A 24,304-nucleotide genomic window follows, 5' to 3' on the forward strand; every position below is an offset into this window, starting at 1 on the left:
TATCCCAGGAATGCAAGAATAGCTCAATATAGACAAATCAATAAACATGATACATACGTCATCAACAGAATGAAGGACAAAAACCATATGATCATTTTAGTAGATAGAGAAAAATAATTCGATAAAATTCAGCATCTCCTCCGAATTAAAAAACTCAACCAACTAGGCATGGAAGGAACATATCTCAACATAAAAAGGCTGTATATGACAGACTCACAGTTAACACCACACTGAATCGAAAAAAGCTGGAAGCCTTTCCCTTGAGAACTGGAACAAGACAAGGACGCACGCTTTTCACCACTCCTATTCAACATGGTACTGGAAGTTCTACCCAGAGCAATCAGGCCAGAGAAAGAAGTAAAAAGTATCCAAACTGGAAAAGAAGTTGTATTTTCCTTGGCTGATGTTATGATCTTATATCTAGAAAAACTTAAAGACTCTACAAAAAAAAAAAAAAAAAAAAAAAACCTCAGATCTGATAAATTCATTAAAAGTTGCAGAATACAAAATCAACATACAAAAAAAATAGCATTTCTATACATCAATAATGAATTAGCTGAGAGAGAAATCAGGAAGGCAATCCCATTTACAATAGCTACAAAAAAATAAAACACTTAGGAATAAATTTAGCCAAAGAGGTGAAAGACCTCTATAAGGAAAAGTATGAAACCGATCAAAGAAATTGAAGAGGAGACAAATGGAAAGAGACCTCATGCTCATGGATGGGAAAAAATTATTATTTTTAAAATGGCCATACTACCCCAAGCAATCTACAGATTCAGTGCAATCCCCATCAAAATACCAACATCATTTTTCACAGAAGTAGAAAGAACAATCTTAAAATTTATGTGGAGCCAAAAAGAACCCAAATGCCAAAGCAATCCTAAGCAAAAAGAATATAGCTAATATAATAACTAAAACAGCATGGCATAAAAACAGACACAGAGACCAATGGAACAGAATAGAGAATTCAGAAATAAATCCATATATTTACAGCCAATTGATTTTCAATAAAGGTGCCAAGAACCTACAATAAACGGTGCTGGGAAAACTGGGTATCCACATGCAGAAGAATGAAACTGTACCTCTATCTCACTATATTAAAGAAAATCAAGATAGGCCAGACATGGGGCTCATGCCTGTAATCCTAGCACTTTGGGAGGCCAAGGCAGGTGGATTGCCTGAGCTCAGGAGTTCAAGACCAGCCTGGGCAACATGGCAAAACCCCACCTCTACTAAAATACAAAAAATTAGCTTGACGTGGTAGGCGCGCCTGTAGTCCCAGCTGCTTGGAAGGCTGAGGCATGAGAATCGCTTGAGCACAGGAGGCAGAAATTGCAATGAGCCAAGATAGCACCACTGCACTCCACCCTGGTTGACACAGTGAGACTCAGTCTCAAAAAAAAAAAAAAAAAATCAAGATGGAGTATAAAGACTTAAATGTAAGACCTGAAACAATAGAACTACTAGAAGAAAACATAGGGAAAACACTTCAGGATATTGGTTTAGGCAAAGATTTTATGGCTGGCCAAGAACTCAAAAGCACAGACAACAAGAACAAATAGATAAACTAGACTATACTAAACTAAAAAGCTTCTGCATGCCAAAACTTTTTGAATGGGAAGTATTTGCAAACTATTTATCTGATAAGGGAATAATATGTAGAATGTATACAAGGAACTCGAACAACTCAACAGTAGAAAAGACAAAATATTAAAAAGTAGGCAAACACAGACTGGGCAATGTGCCAAAACTGTCTCTACAAAGAAATACAAAAAAATTAACTGGGCATGGTGGTGTACTACTGTAGTCCCAGCTACTTGGTGGGGCTGAGATGAGAGGATCACTGAGCCCTGAGCGGTGATTACATCGCTGTACTCCAGCCTGAGTGATAGAGTGAGATCCTGTCTCAAAAAAAAAAAAAAAGTAGGCAAAGACCATGAATAGACATTTCGCGAAAGAAGACATACAAATGGCCAACAGGTATGTGAAAAACTGCTCAACATGACTAATAACCACAGTGAGATATCATCTTAACCCAGTTAGAATGGCTATTATTAAACAAAACATGCTGGCAAGGATGTGGAGAAAAGAGAACTCTTGTACACTGTTGGTGGAAATGTAAATTAGTCCAGTCACTATGGAAAACAGTAAGATTTCTCAAAAAAAAAAAAACAAATAGAATTACCATTGATCTAGCAGTCTCATTATTGGGTATTGATTCAAAGACAAACAGTATATCAAAGGAATAACTGCAGTCACATTGTTGCAGCACTATTCACAATAGCCAAGATATGGAATCAACCTGTCTATTAACGAACAAATAGAGTTTTTAAAAATGTAGTATATACACAATTGAATACTATTTGGCCATAAGGAAATGTCATTCACATCAACATTATGTTAAACAAGCCAGGCACAAAAGATAAATTTCACATGTTCCCATTTATATGTGGGTGCTAAAACAGTATCATGGAGGTAGAGAGTAGAATGATAAATAACCAGAGGCTGGAAAGTGAGTGGGTGTGAGGGGGGAATGAAGAAAGGTTGCTTGATGGATACAAGCATAAAGTTAGATAGAAGGTGTAAGTTCCATTGTTCGATACCTGACTATTGTCACCTTACAAATTATTGTATATTTCAAGCAGCTAGAAGAGAGAACTTAAAATGTTCCCAGCACATAGAAATGATGAATACAAGGTGATGGATACCCCAGATACCCTGACTTGATCATAACACATTCTATGCAGGCATCAAAATATCACATATACCCCATAAATATGTAAAATACTATGTATCAGTAAGAAAAATTGCATGTTTTCATTCAGTTTCCACAGAGCCCTCAGGTAGCTGTTTTTGTGTTTTATCCCATGTACAACTAATGCAAGTGGATTAGTTTAAGTGCTCACTCTTTCACACAGGAAGCAGGGTTTTTTTCTGGCTTAATTTTAAAGAATAAAACATTACAGATAAATTGAAGTTCTCCTATAGTGCCTTTTCCAATCCCATTGCATCCCAGGCAACCTCTTTAACAAACTTCATATGGATCTGGTCCATATTTTTATACTGAGCCAATACAGTTTAGAGGTTTGGAGTGTAAGCTCTGGATTCATACTGCCAGGAATACCTTTACAAGTTACTTATCCTCTCTGTGCCTCTCTTGGTACTTACCTAATAAGGTTGATAGCAAGGATTGAGATAATTTTTATAAAACACGCGGGATAGTAGCTAACATTTAGAATAAGAAGCACTCTGTATTTTGACTCTTGATTGTTATTCTTATTACAACTGTACTATATATTTTATATGGGTTTTAAAAAATTTACAGAGGGGTGATTCTATGAAGTTTTGGTTCAACATTAGCATCTCAAGCTCTTCATAATCCTTTTTCCTATTTGTTATTGAGCCATATATTTTTAAATGTTTGATCTCCAGTGACAGATACAGTACCTAGCACATAATAGATAGTCTACAAAATGTAAACTGAAATATATGTGTCATTGACTGGTTTTGTTAACCTCTTAATAATCTGTTTATTTCCCCACAGCTGTATTCTGTACGGGTGGAAGAGATGGCAACATTATGGTCTGGGATACCAGGTGCAACAAAAAAGGTTATCTAGATCTATTTTAATTTTGAGAGATTTGGGATTACCCTGTACTTAATTTTGAGTGAAAGAGTTAGTGATTTCATCTGATTACCACCAGGGGGCATGTACTCATAATTTCCCATTTCTGCTCACTGTTCCAGATCTCAGGATCTTCACTGAGTGTCCTGAGTGATAAATACATGAGTGTCACTGTTACAAGTATTACACTCATGTATTTATCTCATATTGTCTTCTGAATTATAATGCCATTTACCCACATTATTGATGGACTTAAAAATATTAATACGCAGCCTCACTGGTAAATGTCTTTATTTTGGTTTTTAAGAATTTTTTTTATTTTATTATTATTATTTTTTTTTTTTTTGAGATGGAGTCTCTGTCACCCAGGCTGGAGTGCAGTGGCGTGAACTTGGCTCACTGCACTCCCCACCCGCTGGGTTCCAGCAATTCCTCTAGCTCAGCCTCCTGAGTAGCTGGGATTACAGCCACCCGCCACCATGCCTGGCTAATTTTTGTATTTTTTTAATAGAAATGGGGTTTCACTATGTTGGCCAGGCTGGTCTCAAACTCCTGACCTCAAGTGATCTGCCCACCCTGGCCTCCCAAAGTGCTGAAATTACAGGCGTGAGTCACCAGGCCCAGCCTGATTTTAAAGAATTAGATTGAATTAAACATAAGCTCATGGTTGTCTCATGATGCTATTAAGCAGACGATGATTATCTCACTGTTCACTTTTAGTTAATTTATTAAAATTTTTTTTTGTGTCTGCATTTTAAAAAATTGGTAACATAGTTCTACATATTTTCAGGGGTATATGTGATATCTTGATACATATATAGAACATGAAATGATCAAATCAGGATAATTGGGATATCCATCACCTCAAACATTTATCTTTTCTTTGTGTTGGGAACATTACAATTCTTCTCTTCTGGTTTTTTGTTTCTTGTTTTTTTTTTTTTTGGAGACGGAGTCTCACTCTGTCACCCAGGCTGGAGTGCAGTGGCGTGATCTCATCTCGCTGCAACCTCCGCCTCCTGGGTTCAAGTAATTCTCCTACCTCAGCCTCTCAAGTAGCTGGGATTACAGGTGCATGCCACCACTCCCAGCTAGTTATGTATTTTTAGTACAGACAGGATTTCACCATGTTGGCCAGGCTGATCTGGAACTCCTGACCTCAGGCAATCTGCCTGCCTCAGCCTCCCATTCTTCTAGCTATTTTGAAATAAATAATAAAATTATTTAGAAAAATTTTAATAAACCTTATTTTGTAGAGCAGTTTTAGGTTCACAGCAAAACTGAGCAGAAAGTACAGAGAGTTCCCATATAGCCCCTGCCCTGCCCACACACAGACTTCCCCACTGACAACATCCTGTGCCTGAGTGGTACATTTGTTATAATCAGTTAACCTATGTCAACACATGCTGTCACTCAGAGTTTATAATTTACATCAGTGTTATATATTCTTAGTATTACACATTCTGTGGATATTGACAAATGTGTAATGACGTGCGTCCACCATTGTAGCATCATACACAATAGTTTCACTACTCTAGAAATCCTCTGTGCTCCAGTTATTCATCCCTACCTCCCTCTAAGCCCTGGCAACCACTGATCTTATTACTTCCCCCAGTCACATTTCCTCCATGTCATTTTATGGCTTTATCAAGCTCATTTCTTTCCAGTGCTGAATAATATTCCATTGTCTGGATGAACCAAAGTTTATCCATTCACCTACTGAAGGACATCTTGGTTGTTTCCAAGTTTTGGCAATTATTAAAGCTGTTATAAACATCTCTCCCTTTTTATACATTATAGTCTCACCACAGGAGATGTAGTGCAGCTGGCTCTGCTGGCTTCTAATTTCACCAACTTGGTCAAAAATTACTTAATATTGAAGTTTTATTTACACATGTTATATTCAGCATGTAAGAATCCTGAAACCTAAATTTCCTTGGAATATCTTTCAGATGGGTTTTATAGGCAAGTGAATCAAATCAGTGGAGCTCACAATACCTCAGACAAGCAAACCCCTTCAAAACCCAAGAAGAAACAGAATTCAAAAGGACTTGCTCCTTCTGTGGTAAGGTTTTACAGATGTATACATGTGTGCAGATCTTATCTGTAGGATAGAATAAATGGGAGGCTATTGATTAAGTGAATGAGAATCTTCATGATTCTCATTTGATATCAGTGGTTTATTGCTTATTCAGTACCTACATTTGTGGTTCTCAAATTTTAATTTTTGGTTCTTCTGAATTATAATGCCATTTACCTATATTATTGATGGAATTAAAATATATGTAGCCTCGTTGATAAATATCTTTAAATTTATTTTGGTTTTAAAGAATTAGATTGAATTAAACATAAGATGTTGTCTCATGCCATTAAGCAGAAAGTGGTTTTTTTTTTTACAATTTCAATATCTACATTTTAAAAAATTGATAACATAATTTTACATATTTTGGGGGGTACACTATGTATAATGATCAAATCAGGGTAATTGAGATAGCCATCACTTCAAATACTGTGTGCATCAGAGTTGCCTGAGGCACATGTTGAAAATTCACCTTACTCATCCCTAAAAATCTCTCTACACACACAGACACAAACACACACACACAAACACACCCCTATAGTATAGTGGAATTCATTAGGAAAAGTGGGGGAGGAGTAGTTTGAAGAAGCATATTAAGTACTGTGATGCAGTTTTCTAAGGGGAAAGAATACCTGTTGTTTTCGTAATACAAACTACAGAAAAATATGTTTTTTGTTTTGAGACAGAGTCTCGCTCTGTCACCCAGGCTGGAGTGCAGTGGCGCAATCTTGGCTCACTGCAAGCACCGCCTCCCAGGTTCACACCATTCTCCTGCCTCAGCCTCCCAAGTAGCTGGGACTACAGGTGCCCACCACCACGCCCAGCTAATTTTTTGTTTTTTTAGTAGAGACGGGGTTTCACCGTGTTAGCCAGGATAGCCTCAATCTCCTGACCTCGTGAGCCTCCCAAAGTGCTGGGATTACCGATGTGAGCCACCACGCCTGGCCAGCTTATTTTTAAGCATTTGACAAAATATTGTTAAATATATTGAGAAACACATGGGTAGAACATAGTACCACTCTAATAACTTACAGTCAGAGCTCAAACAATGCCCATAATATATCCTTTTTCTTTAAAAAATTGCCCTTTTTCTCACTTTAATGTAATTTTTTTTTCATATTCCTGGTGTGTAGGGTACAAGTTAATATTTTGGGGGAAGTATGACTGCTAAGACATTAAGACTTAAAACTATACACCGTGAACAGGACACAAGCATGAATGGAAGCAGATAGTAGAGGCCATATGAAGTTAAAACGAGTAGCATTTCAGACATTTAATCTGGTTCTGAGCCAAGATAACTTGTTAAGTAATAGCAATTAGGAGGTACGACTCCACTGGGCCTCTTTTTCAGGGCATGAAATAATCTTTTATTCATAATTCTTTTGATACTCCTATATGATAATCTAGGTAGACAGCAACATTTTAGAGATTAAACTGGCACAAGAAAGTTAAATAAGTTTCCTAAGGATACACACAGCATATTAGTAGGGCTGAGTCTAAGTAGATGCAGTAGGCTCAGACGAGCAAAATCTTTTAGTCACCAGTTTGTTTTTTGAGTATAAGTTGAAATATTAACACTGTATACTAAAACTTAATGATCCTTGCTAAAATTACCTCTTGGTCAGCATATATATCTGATCGAGATCATTAGACAAGACTTCATCTAAGTCAGTCTGGGGAGAAAAGTCGTTTTTTAGCACCTTGTTCCCTTGATGGTAAAGATTATGATGCCCAAGATAGAATCTTCTTCTTTTCTTGTGCTATCAGGATTTCCAGCAAAGTGTTACTGTGGTCCTCTTTCAAGACGAGAATACCTTAGTCTCAGCAGGAGCTGTGGATGGGTAAGAGTCTATTTCTTTTTTCTTCCGACGAGATCTTTTTTATGAGATTGTGATGAGGCAGTCACATAGTCTCATTATAATTGAATGTGTGTGCTTTCAACTGTCAACATAGCAAGTACCCCAACTGAGGAAAGGAGCTATAGATCACATTGGAAAATACCTAGTTGAAGGACTCTTGCTGGATAATTAAATGAAAGAATACATGTGTCACGCTTAGCACATTGTCTAGCACATAAGAGCAGTGGTAGCTGCTGTTGCTATCTTAGAAAAGAAGCTGGCTGGGTAGCTTGCTTGCCTTATGCAATATAATTTAGTCACTAATTCTCATTTTGAAGAGTAAAATTTCTGTTACTTTGGGTTTTGTCTTTTTCAGGTTTAAGAATATCCTAAAAGAAGAAATCTGATTCTGGGGATGTAATTGACATTTCTGGGAGTAATCTAACTAGATTGATGATAGTAAGGTCTAATGACTTTCACATACCTGTCATCCATGATTAGTCTGAATTCTTGGCTTCCAAATAAGTCTGCTCTGTGATGCTTGTTGATTGTGTTGTAGAATATTAATTCTATGCAAATGGAGACTCTTTCTTTTTAAGTTTCCTTCCTATTATATCTCTCAAGGCATCCTTCTCTTAAAATTTTTAATTTAAAAGATGATGGCTTACCAAACTAGGATTTCCATTGTGTCCTCTGGGCACTAAAACCCTCTGAACCAAATTCTCAGGCAGGAATGAAGGATTATCTAAAGGTTATTAGTTCTGCTTGTGAATGACTGTGAAAGCTTGCTCTGTTTGTTTCCAAGAATACTGTCATTTCATAGCAGGTCTGTGTTTTCAAGTTACCTTTATACTAGAAGTAGAGGATTAAGACAATTATCTCAATAGATGAAATGAAAAAATACTTTATTTCACAGAACAATTTGTTTAGATTATTTAAAGAGTTATGTATGGAGATATAACCACAGGGACAGAACTTGCTACTTATGATATCAAAAATATATGCAGAATATTAAAGGCTTAGGAAGTGTATTTTCTAAAAACAATGGAACAATTACTATCGGCACTCAACCTTCATCTTCCTTTTCCGTTCTCTTAGAGTAAACTCCAGTAACCCATCACTGGGTCAAATCACATCTGTTTCCGTTCTGTCAGAATTATAAGCCTGATATTGGAGACAACAGTATAAGATACTTTAATTTGTTTCCCAATGAAATATCCTTACTGTACCTAGTTAATGTGCCAGAGGAGTTAGATTAAAAGTCATTTCACATTTAGTGTAGTTGAAGTTGTTTGGGGTTGGAAGAAGGTCTACAAAATATTTATTTGCCTTGGTTTTTAGGATAATCAAAGTATGGGATTTACGTAAGAATTATACTGCTTATCGACAAGAACCCATAGCATCCAAGTCTTTCCTGTACCCAGGTAGCAGCACTCGAAAACTTGGTAAGCCTTTAATAGGTCTTTTGGGGGAGATAAGAGTTTTTGTTTAAAAAAAAAAAAAAAGGCTAATTTCCAGTAACATTGATATGAAAAATTCTAATATGTGAAGTTCAAAAGATAAAAACTCAGAAGAATGTTTTTGGTTTGTGTATATTTTGGGGACAAAGAATTCTGATGATGATTCTTATGAAATGATCTATTTTTGTCTCTACATTTTAACCTCAGATCTACTCACCATCATCAGGACGTGCTAACTTAAGTTTCCTTTTTCCAGGATATTCAAGTCTGATTTTGGATTCCACTGGCTCTACTTTATTTGCTAATTGCACAGACGATAACATCTACATGTTTAATATGACTGGGTTGAAGACTTCTCCAGGTAAGATATTAGTCATTCAAATTCTCTTACCAGGAAAGCATTATGGGCTTTTTTTGGTAATGATAATTTAATGGGCTTTCTTCTAAACTGAACTTATTAAGCCATATGAGGACTTTGGCATCTTTGATTACATCCAGTGATAATTTCATAAGTGTACATTCCTTGTGATGATTTCATAAGTTAGCTGAATTGTGCTTTACATGGTGACTTTATTTTAATAGAGAGTATCTCCTGAAATTATGCCCTTTGGCCTATATTTAGAATTCTCTCAATTTTTTATTTAATAAGCTGTGGAGTAGATAAAGTGCTTCTGCTCAGCTTTTTTCCTCTTTAGGGGCTGCTGGTTAAAATTAGGGGGCTGAAATTTTCATACCCCCAAAATAGTTTCAGCCTATCTCAGCCTTCTCCTTAATGTTAGAGGCCCTTTTATTTCTAGATGTTTTCCCCAGCCTCACCTTTTTTTTTTCCTCAAAACTTTAAAAATAGAATCTGATACTTAAAACTAATAAATAAATGATAGTTTTAAAAAGAAAACCCAAGTTTCTCAAGCATGCTTTCCTCTTTTTTTTAATCCTCTCCCCTCCCTCTTCCAAATCACCAGCCTCAGGCATGCTTTAAGAGAGTTATTTGGGTTACATTATTTTTAAGAACATCAATTTCTTAAGCAACATCTTAGTAGCCTGGTTATTCCTCATCTATAGATCTTTCAAAAACACTTTGAATTCCATAACCAATCCTCAGAGTTACCCAGTTTCCACTAAAGTAAAAAGTGCTGATAAACAAGAAATCTCAAGTACAGAACTTGTTTTATTTTATTTATAGATAGATGTAGATATAGATATAAATTTTTTTTTTTTTTTGAGACGGAGTTTCACTCTGTTGCCCAGGCTGGAGTGCAGTGGTTCGATCTCGGCTCACTGCACCCTCCGCCTCCTGGGTTCAAGCAATTCTCCTGCCTCAGCCTCCCAAGTAGCTGGGATTACAGGCGCCCGCCACCATGCCTGGCTAATTTTTGTATTTTTAGTAAAGGCAGGGTTTCACCTTGTTGGTCAGGCTGGTCTCGAACTCCTGACCTCATGATCCACCCACCTCAGCCTCCCAAAGTGCTGGGATTACAGGCGTGAGCCACCATGCCCGGCCCAGAACTTGTCATTTTAGCTGAGATCTTACAGAATTTTCCAAAGATCACCCCAAGCAATCTTATTAGGACTTTAGTATCGGTGGCAGCATCATAGTCTGCATTTCTGATACTTTGCACTGGGTCTAGTTTTCTCTAAACAGGAGCAATAGTATTTAGAAAAGGGAAGAGGTGTTTCTTTTGCTATTTTCCTTAATGGAATCTGAGCTTGGAGAGCTGCTAATTTAGTTAGTCAAATAAAATAGACTTTTCAACATCTTTCCTTGAAAGATAAAGCGTGATCCTGATTATATTATCAGATGTACAAGAGCTCTTTCTATATAATTTTTGCTACAGTGTGGCACTGAAAAGGTCCTTGAGTTTAGTGTCCTGCTGTCCAACACTTCGCTAATAATTTAGTAAACCTTTTCTATGCTTCTATTTAATTTCATTTGCGCAGATGGATAGATAGGTAGATAGGTTAATAGATCGATTTATTCCTTAAAAATTGAATGACAGCTGGCCATGGTGGCTCACACCTATAAACCCAAGCCGAGGCTGGCAGATCACTTGAGCCCAGGAGTTCGAGACCAGCCTGGGCAACATGGTGAAACCTCATCTTGACAAAAAGATGCAAAAAATTAGCTGGATGTGGTGGCATGCACCTGTAGTCCTGCTACTTGGAAGGCTGAGGTAGGAGGATTGTTTGAGCCTGGGAGGTTTGAGTCTTCAGTGAGCCATGATCTTGCCACTGCACTCCAGCCTGGGTGACAGAGTAAGACCCTGTCTCAAAAAAAAAAAACTGAATGACAACTGTGTGTGTGTGTGTGTGTAACGTCTTGTAATTACTTGTCCTTTTCAAAACTTCTGAATCGATCTTGGATTCGATACTTGATCTACCATGCTTTGTATTATGGTGTTTATATGTTCATAAGGATGACTTGGTTGGAAGTACTTGAAAAGCCCAGATCACCAAAGCAAGATTAAATTGAGCTCATTAAAGCCAACATACATTTTAGGAGGATTTTTAGCAAGGTTTAAACATTTACAGTGCATATCATACCAGCCTTTCTTAGACCAGCAGAGGGCAATAAATACTTACAGGTGTAGTGGGAAATTCAGGCTAGAGTTTTCCATTCATAGTTGAGAGTTGAGGAAGATTAAAAATTACAGTTTTAGAACAATGTTCAGAATAAAGGAGCTTGTTTATTTTGCAGTGATAATAGGTGTATACAAATTGATTCATATCCTGCCTCACTTTCACAGTAAAAATGTCTGATGTGAGGAGTATTTGCTATGCCTGCATAGCTTTTTCCTTTAAAGCTATAAATACAAAGTTCTTTTCCAGCTTTATTCTAGAAAATGGAAGAGATTCCTGTGAGCACTTATGGGAAGCTGTTAAGTCCCCTACTAATACTTTTCTCTCTGGAGTGTGATTGTTTTTTCCTGCCTAAAGGTATCCTTAAATTCTCCAATAATTGAGATTTTTCTCTTGTATTTCCTAGTAGTGTTCTGATGTCAGAGGCCTCAGGTTTTGACCTTCTTAGGATAGAAGAACCTGTTAAGAACATATGCTAGATTGGGTTACCTGCCCTTTTGCCATTGAGAGTGAGAAGGCTAAACCTAATCTAGTGCCTTACATATAAACAGTTTACTCCACTAGCTCTTCCACCATTCAGTCTACTCAAAGTGCTGGATTAAAATGATTCTCACATCCCACATAAGCTATTAGTAAGTTTTAACCAGAACTCAAATGATACTTTTCACTGATTTTTTTTTTCCTTTTCATGGAACAAATGTTTGAGGATCTACTCTGTTCAAAGCACTATAAAGTCTAGTGAGGAAAAAGTAAGATATAAAATTTATCCTCAAGAGGCCTGAAGTCTAAGGGGAAATTAGATGAATATATTATGCAGTGGAAAAAATCCTACCCTGGGCTGGAGAGAGAGGGTCTTATAAAGGCATTTTACTGCAAGTTGGACATTGGCTGGATTCTTTTTTTAAGGAATGTTTTCCCTCCAATTTTTTTCTCTTGATATTGCCATTTTCGTACCAAGTACTCAGACTGAGTTCATGAGATTGGATCTAATATAAAGCTTCCTTCTAGGGTTTTGTTTTTCTGCCAATGTCTAGTTCCCTTGTATTTGATGGATAAAGCTAGATCATCTGCTTCAATAGGCAATACAGTGATAAAACTTGTTAGAATATATATGCTGTCTATATCCATTTGACCACTAGAAATAACAAGAGCCAAGTAATTTGGTTTTTTTCCTCTGGCAGTGGCTATTTTCAATGGACACCAGAACTCTACCTTTTATGTAAAATCCAGCCTTAGTCCAGATGACCAGTTTTTAGTCAGTGGCTCAAGTGATGAAGCTGCCTACATATGGAAGGTAAGTTGCTAAACTTCACCCACAAGTGTTAGACTGAAGTATTCTTGCAAATATTTGTTCTGTCCAATATGAGATAAGTTTAATGTAACCACGTGCTATACTATTCCTGCATCAGATATTTAGTAAAGGTTGCTCTTGGCTCTTAATATAGCTGAAACCTTACTCTACTACAGAATGTATGACACTTTCAGGGCCATAGCTTGTCAGAAATTGACAATTTGTATCCTCTGTTTCAAAAATTATTAGGAAATTGAGAATTCAGAGGGTGATAAGAACCTTAACTACTTTGTCCTGCATCCTGGAAAACATGCTATACTGACTTTCTGCCCTATGTTTTCAAACTCTCGTTCAGAATACAGTATTTTGATCCCTAGGATCCTGTGCTTGAATCACCCATGGAGCCTTGCACAAAACAGAAACTCAAAAATATTTTTATGATTAATTTATTCTTTATTCTCTCCTTACAAGTAGCTGATCTTCAGGCCACTAAAGTAGATATGGCTGCTTTATCAGATTTTTATATATTTAATAGCATTATTTACTAATCTTTTTTTTTTTTTTTTTTATTGAGATGGAGTCTCACTCTGTCGCACAGGCTGGAGTGCAGTGGCACGATCTTGGCTCACTGCAAGCTCCGCCTCCCAGGTTCACGCCATTCTCCTGCCTCAGCCTCCCGAATAACTGGGACTACAGGTGCCTGCCACCACGCCCGGCTAATTTCTTTTGTATTTTTAGTAGAGACGGGGTTTCACCATGTTAGCCAGGATGGTCTCGATCTCCTGACCTCGTGATCCGCCCAACTTGGCCTCCCAAAGTGCTGGGATTACAGGCATGAGCCACCATGCCTGGCCAATAATCTTTTAAATAACTTTTTTAATAACAGTAGTTCTAAAGTGTCTACTGTAAGCTAAGAAATTTAAAGCTGTCCATTTGAAGTCCAGTGGAGAAAATAAAAATGTTAGACAACAGGTAGCACTTGCTTATTACTGAAAAATGTCTCTTGAAGGAATAATTAATTATGGAAATGTTCTGGGAATTCAGAGAATGATCATTAAGGCATTGTTTACCCATGACTAAGAATTAATTATCTTCTAGATTTCCCTGTAACTTCATAAATGTCTTTGACATTGGTGAATTGAATGATTAGAGTTCACATATTTTGGGTTTTAAAGTCATAATGTCTAAAACTTCATAGATCCCATAGTTCCGATAGTATCAAATCCCTTCTCAAGAGAAAGTTATATCATTTTTTATCCTGCCAAGCTCTAGAAAGTAATATTGCTAATTTTTTTTAGGACAGGGGTAAAACCTGTTTAGTATGAAGCATAATTCTTCAGCTTAATTTCTTCCAATCCTGAGGGAAGTACAAAAGAAAAGTGATTTCTATATAACTGGAGTTGTGAAAATGCAACACTACTTTATTAAAATTTTACTAACAATATCCTAAATAGTCACAGGGTGGAAATATTGCTCTATCCAAGATGCTTCTATGTTGGGCCTGCCTTTTTCTACAAGCATATTTCTTTCTTTTGTTATATTTTTAAATGCCTATAAAGTATATACTTGACTCCATCACAAGATGGAGTTTCCTCTTTATAATATTCTTCTTACTTGAGATTTTAAGTTTAACAATGTTATGTCGCTGGCACTAATGCTCTGTCTTATATTTAAAATTTTCAGTTTCAAATTTGGTCTTAATGCTTATTTTGCTACCTTTTTCCTTTCTTCTTTGCTCACTGTCTTGCCTATGTTTCCTTCTCCACTTTGGCTCCCAACTTAACTAGAGGATTTTATTCCTACCACAGGTCTGTATCTTTTAAGGTTTGTTTCTTGTTAAAAAAAAAATTTTTTTTTCCAACATCACAAAAAGCATATAAGAATAATTCAAAAAATACTTATGTATTGATCATTCTTGTTAAATTATTAAGTTTTAATTATATGTACATAATTATGTATACAATTACATGTGTGTTGTATAGTTTCTTGATAGTTTTTAAATTCTTAATAAATTTTTAAATTATATATATACATAATTATGTGTATAATTATATATTATGTGTATCTTGTGTAAAGTTTTCTTGACAATTGTTAAAGTTCCTTCCTCTTCTCTAGTGCAAAGGCCTTTTTAAGATTTTGTTTCAGGGAATGAAGGTTGTGGGAATACTTGCCTTTAAAGATATACACTAAATATAGTTGGCCATTGTTTCTAAGCCATTTTCAGACAACCAATCAGTGTCTACCACATACAAGGGTTACCCTTTTTTAATTCCTAGGCTGGGTCACATGTCAGTGTTGAATGACGTGGTTCAGACGTGATGTTCTTCTGCCTGTCCACACATAACTCGGTGTACAGGCTCTGATATTTGAGATCCTGGCAAGCTTGCACCTCCTAAATTTGAATTTGCCTAGTGAGGTGGCTCAGTTTCTCTTTTCCATGATTAAAAAAAGGAGGAGTGGTATTTTAAGAGCAATTCCATTCAAGCTGAGTATCCAGGCTGTTAGATTGCTCTTCTACGTGTTCAAAAAGTCAGAATTCTCTTAAGTATTAGAATTTTTTCTATGCTAAAAAGCCAAAAGCCCATGGGCACAAGAAAACAAAATAGAAGGGAGTTTTGTATCTTAAGACAGAAGAGAATGGCCTCTTAATCCTCACTACTGCCCAGCAAAGAGGAAATATAATATATTCGGGCTGATATTGAGGCCCAAGACTTAAAAAGATTTAATATTATACCTTTTCTTTTTAATTTCCTAACTATTGTCTCACCCCCACCCCATCCTCTTTTCTCTGGTTTGTTTCTGATATAGCCACTGAATAGCATCGAAGTGGTTATAAATAAACTGATTTGGCATAGTCATTCTACCACTGACTGGTGAAACGTTGAGCCTGACACTTTAGGAAGTGTAAATGATCTCATGGCAGAAATAAAGATTAGACTTGGTTTCCAACTGGGCAGAGAAGAGATTTTGTGAGGAAAAGTGCTGATATTCTTTGTATGTTTCAGTACACAAAATAACTTTATGACATCTGTAAGTTAGAGCCACTTACTTCTAGAGGTACCTTCTTAGTTCTAGGAGATTTAACTTTGGGATTCCTTGTGCCTTGAATTAAAGTCTTTATTTTACAAAAAGTAGAATATGTAAGAGAGGACAGTCTTCTGTGTCTGAGCATCTCCAAAATGCATGGATATAAATGTCTCTTAGACTTAATAGTCGCCTTCCTACTTAAAAGGGAAAGGAAGCTTTAAAAAATGAAGTTACGTAATTATGATAGTGTTCTTATAATAATGTAGGGACAATAAATAAAAATTTATTTGAATAAAAATGAAGGATTTAAAAGCCACCTGAATCTCATTAGAAGGAATGAATCTTTCTTGAAGTAGTCATACTATACCCTAGGATAGTCCTAAACTATCAAAGCATAAAAGTTCATAAAAACGTGTTAGACATTAGTTTCTCATTTTAACCCATAACACGCCCTTCCTCCCATTTTTCCTTATTCAGATAGAATTCATATAACATATAATTCACCATTTTAGTCATTTTAAAGTTTACAATGGAGTAGTTACTATTGTAATCACAGTGTTGTACCAACATCACCACTATCTAATTCCCAAACATCATCACACCAGAAAAAAACCCGTGTCCTTTAACAGTCACTCTCTAATCCCCTCTTCCTCCCCAACACCTGCTAAACTACATTCAGTCTCTATGGATTTGCTATTCTAGACATTTCATATAAATGGAATCATACAAAATCAGCATTTTGTGTGTGACGTCTTTTACTTAGCATAATATCGAGGTTCATCCATGTTATAGCATGTGTCAGTACTTACTCCTTTTTATGACTGAATAATATGCCATTGTGTGGATAGACCACATTTTGTTTATTCATTCATCAGTTGATGGACATTTGAGCTGTTTCCATTTTTTGACATGAATAAAGCTGCTGTGAACATTTGTGTATAAGTTCTTGTTTAACATAGGTTTTTAATTCTCCTGGGAGTGTAGGAACAGAATTCGATTCCTAAGAATAGAATTGCTGGGTCATATAATTGTTTAACTTTCTGAGGAAACTTCCCCCCACTTTTAATGCTATGTAAAGTGCCTGGCTTAGACTTTTACTGTCGTCATTGATACCTTGTTAACGTATTCCAAAATGTTTTTCTAATGGGTCTCTTTCTTTTTTCTCTGAAACCCTATAGATAAATGCAAAAATGTGCATATATTCTATTGGTGGGTATTTAGGGGGTTTTTTGAAACTTATTTTAACCCTTGGTGTACACATTTAGGTTCTCCTAGGTATTATAATACAGAAACTGAGAAAGGACCAATATCATGAAATTAAAAAGCTATAGGCAATAAGCAGGGTGAATCAATGGAAGACAATAATGTATTTCTACCAGGGATGCTCAGTAGGACTTGAGGATTTCCTCTCCCTTCTAATTTGCTGCTACCAGACCTGTTTGGACCTTGGGTGAAGAGAAACTTAATCGACTGGGGCCATCCCAAACAGAGGAGGAAAGGAAAATTTCTGTGACTACTGGGATAGTTAGAGACGATCTTCAAAGTCTTTTCTAAAATATGTTACATTGTGAAAGAATGAATTATCTCTGTGCCATTGTAGGAGTAGGCAGTAAGTGAGATTCCTGTAGATGTGGAAAAAGCTTCCTTTCTGATAAATTTTAATTAACTCTGCAAGACAAGTTAGACTCTGCTCTTTGTCTTCTTTTGCTTTTTTAATTATTGCATATGTACCATTTAAGCCAAGAGAGGAGTATTAATGATTGAGTTGAATAACCTTATCAGTCAGTGTGTCAGATCTCTTAACCATAATCTGGGGGAATCTATTAAGTTTACTTAGTCATTCTCACAAATAATCATTCCAGAGTCACCTCCACTTTCTTCATACAAATGAGCCATGATTCAGAGCCTCAGGAAAATGAAAAGAGAATAACTTCTCTCAGCCCCAACCTCCTTGCTCTTTTGAAACACACATGCTAATAATAGTTATGTGTGTTTGTACTCGTTATTGTGCTGATTAATTCCCATGGCCTATGAAAGAGATTGACATCTCTTGAATGAGTCAGCTGTATGATGCTGTCAAATGTACATAACTGGTGGCATCTGATGATGGAAAAATATGATTCTTAGTCACATGTACAGGACAGTACAATGTGACCCTTCTTTCTGCATTAAAATATATTAAAATGCGAGTGACACTTACTTGAAAATTCAAAACTTCTCTCAGAAAATTAACTGAAATATAGTTTTAGAGGAAAAAAATGTTTTTCAGAAAGGATACCAAAGTGCCATGTAAAATATAGTTTATACCCCTTCAGAATGAAGGTTATCCAACTCAAAATGAAGGAGTATAACTTTGGGTTTTGTAAAAGTTAGTGACCAGCTCTGTTGGGACAAGAGGACGGTCTTCTTTTGGAAGGAAGACCATCATCTTGTCCGAAGAGAGCTGGTAGCATGTTTCAGAAATCTTCAGGTTTCACAGTTAATTTAGTGTTCCTAGAAGTAGCTGACTAGGGATCTGAAGATATATATGCTGTGTAAAAACAGGACTGAGTTGTCGAGTTGACTACTTAAGGATGGATAACATCCTTCCAGAAAGTTTACCACCTAAGGAATAAGGGACAATGCCAGTCTTGAATTTTAGTCAAAATATATATGGCTAGGTTGTCCTGATATGAAATAAGGACTATCCTTGTGTGTAAGCTCATGTTATTTACTTATTTTGACTGTTTTCATTGTGTTTTCTCAGATTAGTAACAGAAATATTTCATTGCCCATTGGAAATCTGTTGTTTTTTTTTTCCTAACTATAGCTAGGCAGGTCTAGTGGCCTTTGGTAACAATCCTAAAGCTCTCTAAGACACACTTCTGAATTCAAAGGCCTCTATCTGGGAAATCTAATATTGCTTTGCTGACTTGTTTGTTTTTGATTGGACTAGGTCTCCACACCCTGGCAACCTCCTACTGTGCTCCTGGGTCATTCTCAAGAGGTCACGTCTGTGTGCTGGTGTCCATCTGACTTCACAAAGGTTTGTAAATGAATCTCTATAGTTGGTTTAAAATGTAGATCACAGGTTTGTAGGTTTTTCTAAGGTTTGTTTTGAGAATGATATAAATTTTTATGTTTAAGTTGAGATTTTAAAGACCTAAAGGCCATCCAGGATCTATATTCACATTACTCAGGCATATTCTGCTTTTCTCTACCCATACCATAATGGTATTATGCCCTGTGAAATAAGGATAGATTTCTGGTTCCCTACAGTTATTTCTTTCCTAAATGTAGGATTAAGTTGTTAACTTAATTAAAATTTTCTATTAAAATCTAAGATAAAAATACAATCTAAGGTGAGAACTAGTCTTTTTTACTTTTTAGATATTATCAATGTAGTATATTAAAGGTAACATCTTGACAGCCCAATTTGGGTTTTCACATATGGCTAACAAAATGGTAACTGTGAAGTCTTAACATGTTAGGTTATCTATTGCTTAAACTATGTAAGTAGGTCTGAAATGTTTTAGATACTCCAGAAAGAAGACAATATGCCCACCTTTTAATTTTTTTATAGTGACACTTTAAGAAACAAAAAAACCCTAAAATGTAGAAAGGCCAGAAACATTAAAAACTATGTATCTATTGGAATTGCATATAATAGTAGCTCAAGTTCCAGTCATTCTCCCAAACCCCATTGCCTCTGGTCTTTGAGTTATTCTGGGTTCTACAGGAAATCTTATTTCTGTGGAGGTCTCCCCTTTCACGTATGACGTTTTGAGGTTTTGTTGCCTATTGTTCCCATCTGTTTTTTATCTTCCAGAAACTTCTCATGGTCTGGTCTATTTGTGGCATCCCTGCTAGCTTCCAGTATTGCTGTGGATTTCTCCTTATTGTTACCATTTCTGTGCTCAACTTCATGGCAGACCTTTTCTTTTTTTTTAAGTCATTACTTTAATCACCCAAAATTACATATTAATGATATTTTTTCCTCTGAGATTCCATGTAATTTCTTTTAACATGGAGGGTTGCATCTTCATGGGACTTACTAAGTTGAATGATTTTTGAATTATTCAGTTAATTATGTTATCTTTTTTTCAATTGTCATATATTATCCTTACCCCTATGCATCTCAAACATCATATATTAATTATCCTTATTTCCTGTGCTCAAAGGAAATAGCAGGGCTGTTTACCTATACTAATTTATTGGCTACTTTTTTAAGTCTTAAAAATAATTTCATCCCAAGCCTAGAATTAGGAAAGTAAAATATGGTTTGTGTTGTTTTTGTGTTTTTAATGTCTGGCATTTGGAATAGGAGAAAGCTGGGTTTAAATTCTAGCTCTTCCATTTGATTGTGGTTACTTTGGGCAAATAACTTTATTCCCATTTTGCATATGAGATTATTTGAGTACAAAGCTTTTAGAGTGTGAGAATTAAATAAGATAAAGAATGTAAACTACCAGACACATAGTAGGTGCTCTGCAAATAACTATTGTTAATAAACTATAGAAGAACTGTGAGATTCCAAACATTTCATATTGAACAGTTAAATATGTGTATCTTCTTTTGGCCTCCCAGTAAGGAAAGGAAAAAGCTGCCAGTCTCTTGGGGGCCAAGACTTAAGAGAACATGTATTCTTTTTTTCTTTCTCTTTAGTGACTGAAATAGAGAAATTATATAAACAAATGCTGGGGAACAGCTCTGGTACCAGTGGCCATTTGCCACAAGCTCTTCAAGCTGGACTTTCTCTGCCATAAAAGGCTTGGGACCAAGATCTAGAATAGTCAGATATTTTTAAAGGGACAAAGGTTATTTTTTAACTTCTTTCAGCCTAGGGAACTTGTTGTTTTCCCAGATTGCTCCTCTACCTATCTGAAAAAGAATCTCAAAAGGAATGGTTTCCTTCTACTTGTCACAGCCTACTAGAGTCATGGGCCAAGTCTGATCTTGCAAATGGTGCCATTACTTTAGCAATGTGGCACAACATGCAGAATTCAGAAGAAAGTTGTAGAAATTGAATGTTGGTAACATATACTGATTGATCATTTAACAGAAGAGTAAAAAGAGTGTCTTAACTACATATTTTGTATTTATACAGAAGATGATAAAGAGCCAGAACTTTAGATTAGATAAGAAATGACCAGTAACAAAAGACATACTAGTAGAATGTATATGAAGAATAAACTAAAGAGTCAGCTTTGTTGGAAATCTGGAATGATTCCTGAAAGCAAGAAATGGATGTACATGATCTTTAAGATATTATTTTCTATATCCTGTTTATTAGACAAAATAATTATCCAGTCACAAGGCCTTAAGACACACCTGTTTTTTAATGTATTTTGAATCTTGATTGAAATTTCTTAATTCCCTTCTTGGTACTCCCTCTTAGATTGCTACCTGTTCTGATGACAATACACTAAAAATCTGGCGCTTGAATAGAGGCTTAGAGGAGAAACCAGGAGGTGATAAACTTTCCACGGTGGGTTGGGCCTCTCAGAAGAAAAAAGAGTCAAGACCTGGCCTAGGTAAGGATATCATATACTTTCCAAGTTTTTTATGGTTTGACTAGTTTAGTCCGACAGTACAGAGTAATAAGCTAGATTTGATCTTGCTTTGGTATGTTTTTAAAGAAAAGCACTATCTTCTTGCCATTCATTCTTTTTGATAAGTATTTCCCAAGCACTACTATGTTTATCATTTACACAAGGTACTACAGTGGTGGATTTATTCAACAAATATTTCTTGAACACCCAGTATGTGCTGGGCCCTGTTCTTAGTTGCTAGGGATTCAGCAATGAACAAAAGAATAAAAAATCCTGAAGATGTAAATAGAGCTAACATATTAGTGTGAGAGGCAATAAACAAGATAAAAAAGTAAAATATATACTGTGTCAAATAACAATAAGGGCTTAGGAATAAAGGAAATAGGAAAGGGAGAAGGGCAAGGGTGAAATATGCTATCAAAATTTTATATTAGGTGACCAGGGGGGCCTCAATGAAAAGATGGCATTTGAGTAAAGAAAGTGAAGTAGTAAGCCATATAGATATTTTAAAGAAGAATATTCCAGGCAGATAAAAGTACACAGGCCCTAAAGCAGGAGCATGCTTGGCATATTTTCTCTTCCTCAGAGAGGCTAGCATGGCTGGCCCCTAGGGCTGCAGCAGGCAAAGGAAAGGGAGGGAATAGTAGTAGAAAATGAAATTCTGTGAGACTTTGGCTTTTATTTTGATAGACAAAAGTCCACCAGAGGGTTTGGAGCAGAAGAGTATCATAATTTGACTTTTAACTTGATCATTCTTGCTCCTGTGTTGAGGATAAATTGTAAGGGGGTCAGGGTAAAAGCAAAAAGCTACTTTTAAAAAGCCATTGAGATAATCCAGGAAGTGATGATGGTGACTTAGACCAGAGTAGTAGCAGAAGCTATGGTGAGAAGTCATCCAATTTTGGATATATTTACAAGACAGAGCCAACAGAATATGTTGAGGGATCAGATGTGGGGCTATATGGGAGAGTTATCAAGGATAACTTCAGAGATTTTGCTTAAGAAGCTGAAAAGATGGAGTGTCATTAACCTAGATAAATATCCCTGCAGGAAGAGCAAGTTTGGGAGGGAACAGCTGGAGTTCCATTTGGACATGTTGTTTGATATGATTATTAAACACCCAAATGGACATGTCAGGGAGGCATTTCGATGTTTAATTCTGCAGTTCAGGGTTGAAGTTGCAGATGTGAGGTTCATTATCACACAGGGTGAAGATAGCTATAGATAGAAAAAAATAGGCCTGGTGTCTTGGGGTACCCCGATGTTTAGAGGTTGAGGAGGTGACAAATACCATTAAAGCCTACTGAGCAGCCACAACCAGAGAAGTAAGAGAAAAACTGGGAGAGTGTTACATCCTGGAAGCCAAGTAAATAAGAGGAGAGAGGGATGAACTTGATTTGATGTTTCTGGTATACCAAATAAGGTGAGGCCTAAAAACTGACCAATGGATTAGGCAATCATAGGGGTTATTTGGTGACCTTAATGAGTGTTGTTTTGGTGGTATGATGGTGGCCTGATTGGTGTCATTCATGTATATGACTTGGGGACTACAAGTATAGACAGTTCTTTCAAGGAGTTTTGTTATAAAGGAAAGAAGAGAAGTGAAGTGGTAGCTGGAGAAAGAAGCAGGGTTGAAGTTTGCTGGGGTTTTTTTAAATAGGAATATAACATTTCACAGTGATTGGCAGGATCGTATAGAGAGGGGGAGATTGATGCAGGGGAATTTGCTGGAGCAATGTTAAGCATGAGGGGATACTATCTGATACACAGTAGGAGGGTAGGCCTTTGCCAGGAACATGGATAGTTGACCCATAGTAATTGGAGAAAAGGTGGAATATATAAGCATGGTGCAGGTAGGCTACTGAGAGATGGTGGGGAGAGAGGTGGAGAGATGAGATGGCCATAACTTACAGAAGCTTCCTTCTGTTCTGATGTTAAAACATGAATCAGGGTTATTAACTGCGAATGAGGATAAGGGAGAAAGGGAGTAGAGATTTTAGAAGAGATAAGAAAGTCTGAAATTGTCACTGAGAGAATAGAGGAATAAATGGACAGGAAAATATGATTGTTGGGCTTCAAGAGTCAACTTGAGGCTAGCAATAATTAATTGAAAGTGAGCACTCCACATGGTTGTGTGTTTGCTATGCAAGTACAAGTATACTATAGGTAGAGAGCTAGATTTAACCAGGGATGTGGTTTAGCAATGCAAGTGAAGAAGGAAGTTGACAGTGGATGCAAAGAGGATGATTATGACTATAAGATATAACCTTGGTAAGGAGGCATATTAGTCCATTTTCACACTGCTGATAAAGACATGTACAAGACTTGGCAATTTACAAAAGAAAGAGGTTTAATGACTTACAGTTCCACATGACTGGAAAGGCCTCACAATCATGGCAGAAGGCAAGGAGGAGCAAGTCACATTTTACATGGATGGCGGCAGGCAAAGAGAGAGATTGGGCAGAGAAACTCCCCCTTATAATATTGTCAGATCTCATGAGACTTATTTGCTGTCACGAGAACAGCATGGGAAAGACCTGCCCCCATTATTCAATTACCTCCCACCAGGTCCCTCCCACAACACATGGGAATTCAAGATGAGATTCAGGTGGGGACACAGCCAAACCATATCAGGAGGGAAGTAAGGACATAATGGGGCCAAGGGATAGTGTAAATGTGGTACTAGCAGTGGATTGAGGATAAAAGATTGTTGGAATTGAAATACTAAAGGGAGATGGGAAAATAAGTGGTGATGAGTGGGATGATTGAAATTAAGATAATGGAAGATTTCCAGGTATTGGTAATAATAAGGTAAAGAATAAGTGGCTTAGGAGAGTGAAAGGACAAGATTATAGAAGAAGGAGGTCAAAAA

General features: G+C 36.5%; 1 protein-coding gene and 1 non-coding gene across 6 annotated transcripts in view, besides 2 other annotated features; both read left to right on the forward strand.

Annotated features, from left to right (window-relative positions):
• DTL (denticleless E3 ubiquitin protein ligase adapter) overlaps positions 1-24,304 on the forward strand; it is a 69,266-nt gene that overhangs the window by 23,589 nt on the left and 21,373 nt on the right. For 3 of the 5 annotated variants that reach the window (NM_016448.4, NM_001286230.2, XM_011509614.2), the window contains 8 exons: positions 3,548-3,613; positions 5,581-5,693; positions 7,476-7,549; positions 8,888-8,991; positions 9,263-9,367; positions 12,765-12,877; positions 18,837-18,926; positions 21,279-21,414. In NM_016448.4, the coding sequence (NP_057532.4) occupies positions 3,548-3,613; positions 5,581-5,693; positions 7,476-7,549; positions 8,888-8,991; positions 9,263-9,367; positions 12,765-12,877; positions 18,837-18,926; positions 21,279-21,414 (801 nt within the window). Of the gene's footprint in view, positions 1-3,547; positions 3,614-5,580; positions 5,694-7,474; positions 7,550-8,887; positions 8,992-9,262; positions 9,368-12,764; positions 12,878-18,836; positions 18,927-21,278; positions 21,415-24,304 lie in introns of those variants that run through there. The other 2 variants (NM_001286229.2, XM_047422489.1) reach the window with 2 other exon arrangements.
• MIR3122 (microRNA 3122) lies at positions 18,277-18,349 on the forward strand. Its single transcript, NR_036068.1, has one exon. It is a non-coding gene; the product is annotated as a microRNA 3122 (primary transcript).
• Positions 22,873-23,042: an enhancer, noted in NCBI's record as "experimental_3330 CRE fragment used in MPRA reporter constructs". NCBI's record gives its function as "activates a minimal promoter by MPRAs in K562 erythroleukemia cells, with activity observed for the non-introgressed 1:212255636 or rs72750369 variant allele {active_cell/tissue: K562}" and the evidence as "EXISTENCE:reporter gene assay evidence [ECO:0000049][PMID:34662402]".
• Position 22,958: a transcriptional cis regulatory region, noted in NCBI's record as "Neanderthal adaptively introgressed variant 1:212255636 (GRCh37/hg19 assembly coordinates) or rs72750369 in the experimental_3330 CRE". NCBI's record gives its function as "modulates activity of the experimental_3330 enhancer by MPRAs in K562 erythroleukemia cells {active_cell/tissue: K562}" and the evidence as "EXISTENCE:reporter gene assay evidence [ECO:0000049][PMID:34662402]".

Source organism: Homo sapiens, chromosome 1 (genome assembly GCF_000001405.40).
Source record: "Homo sapiens chromosome 1, GRCh38.p14 Primary Assembly".
NCBI classification, from domain to species: Eukaryota; Metazoa; Chordata; class Mammalia; order Primates; family Hominidae; genus Homo; species Homo sapiens.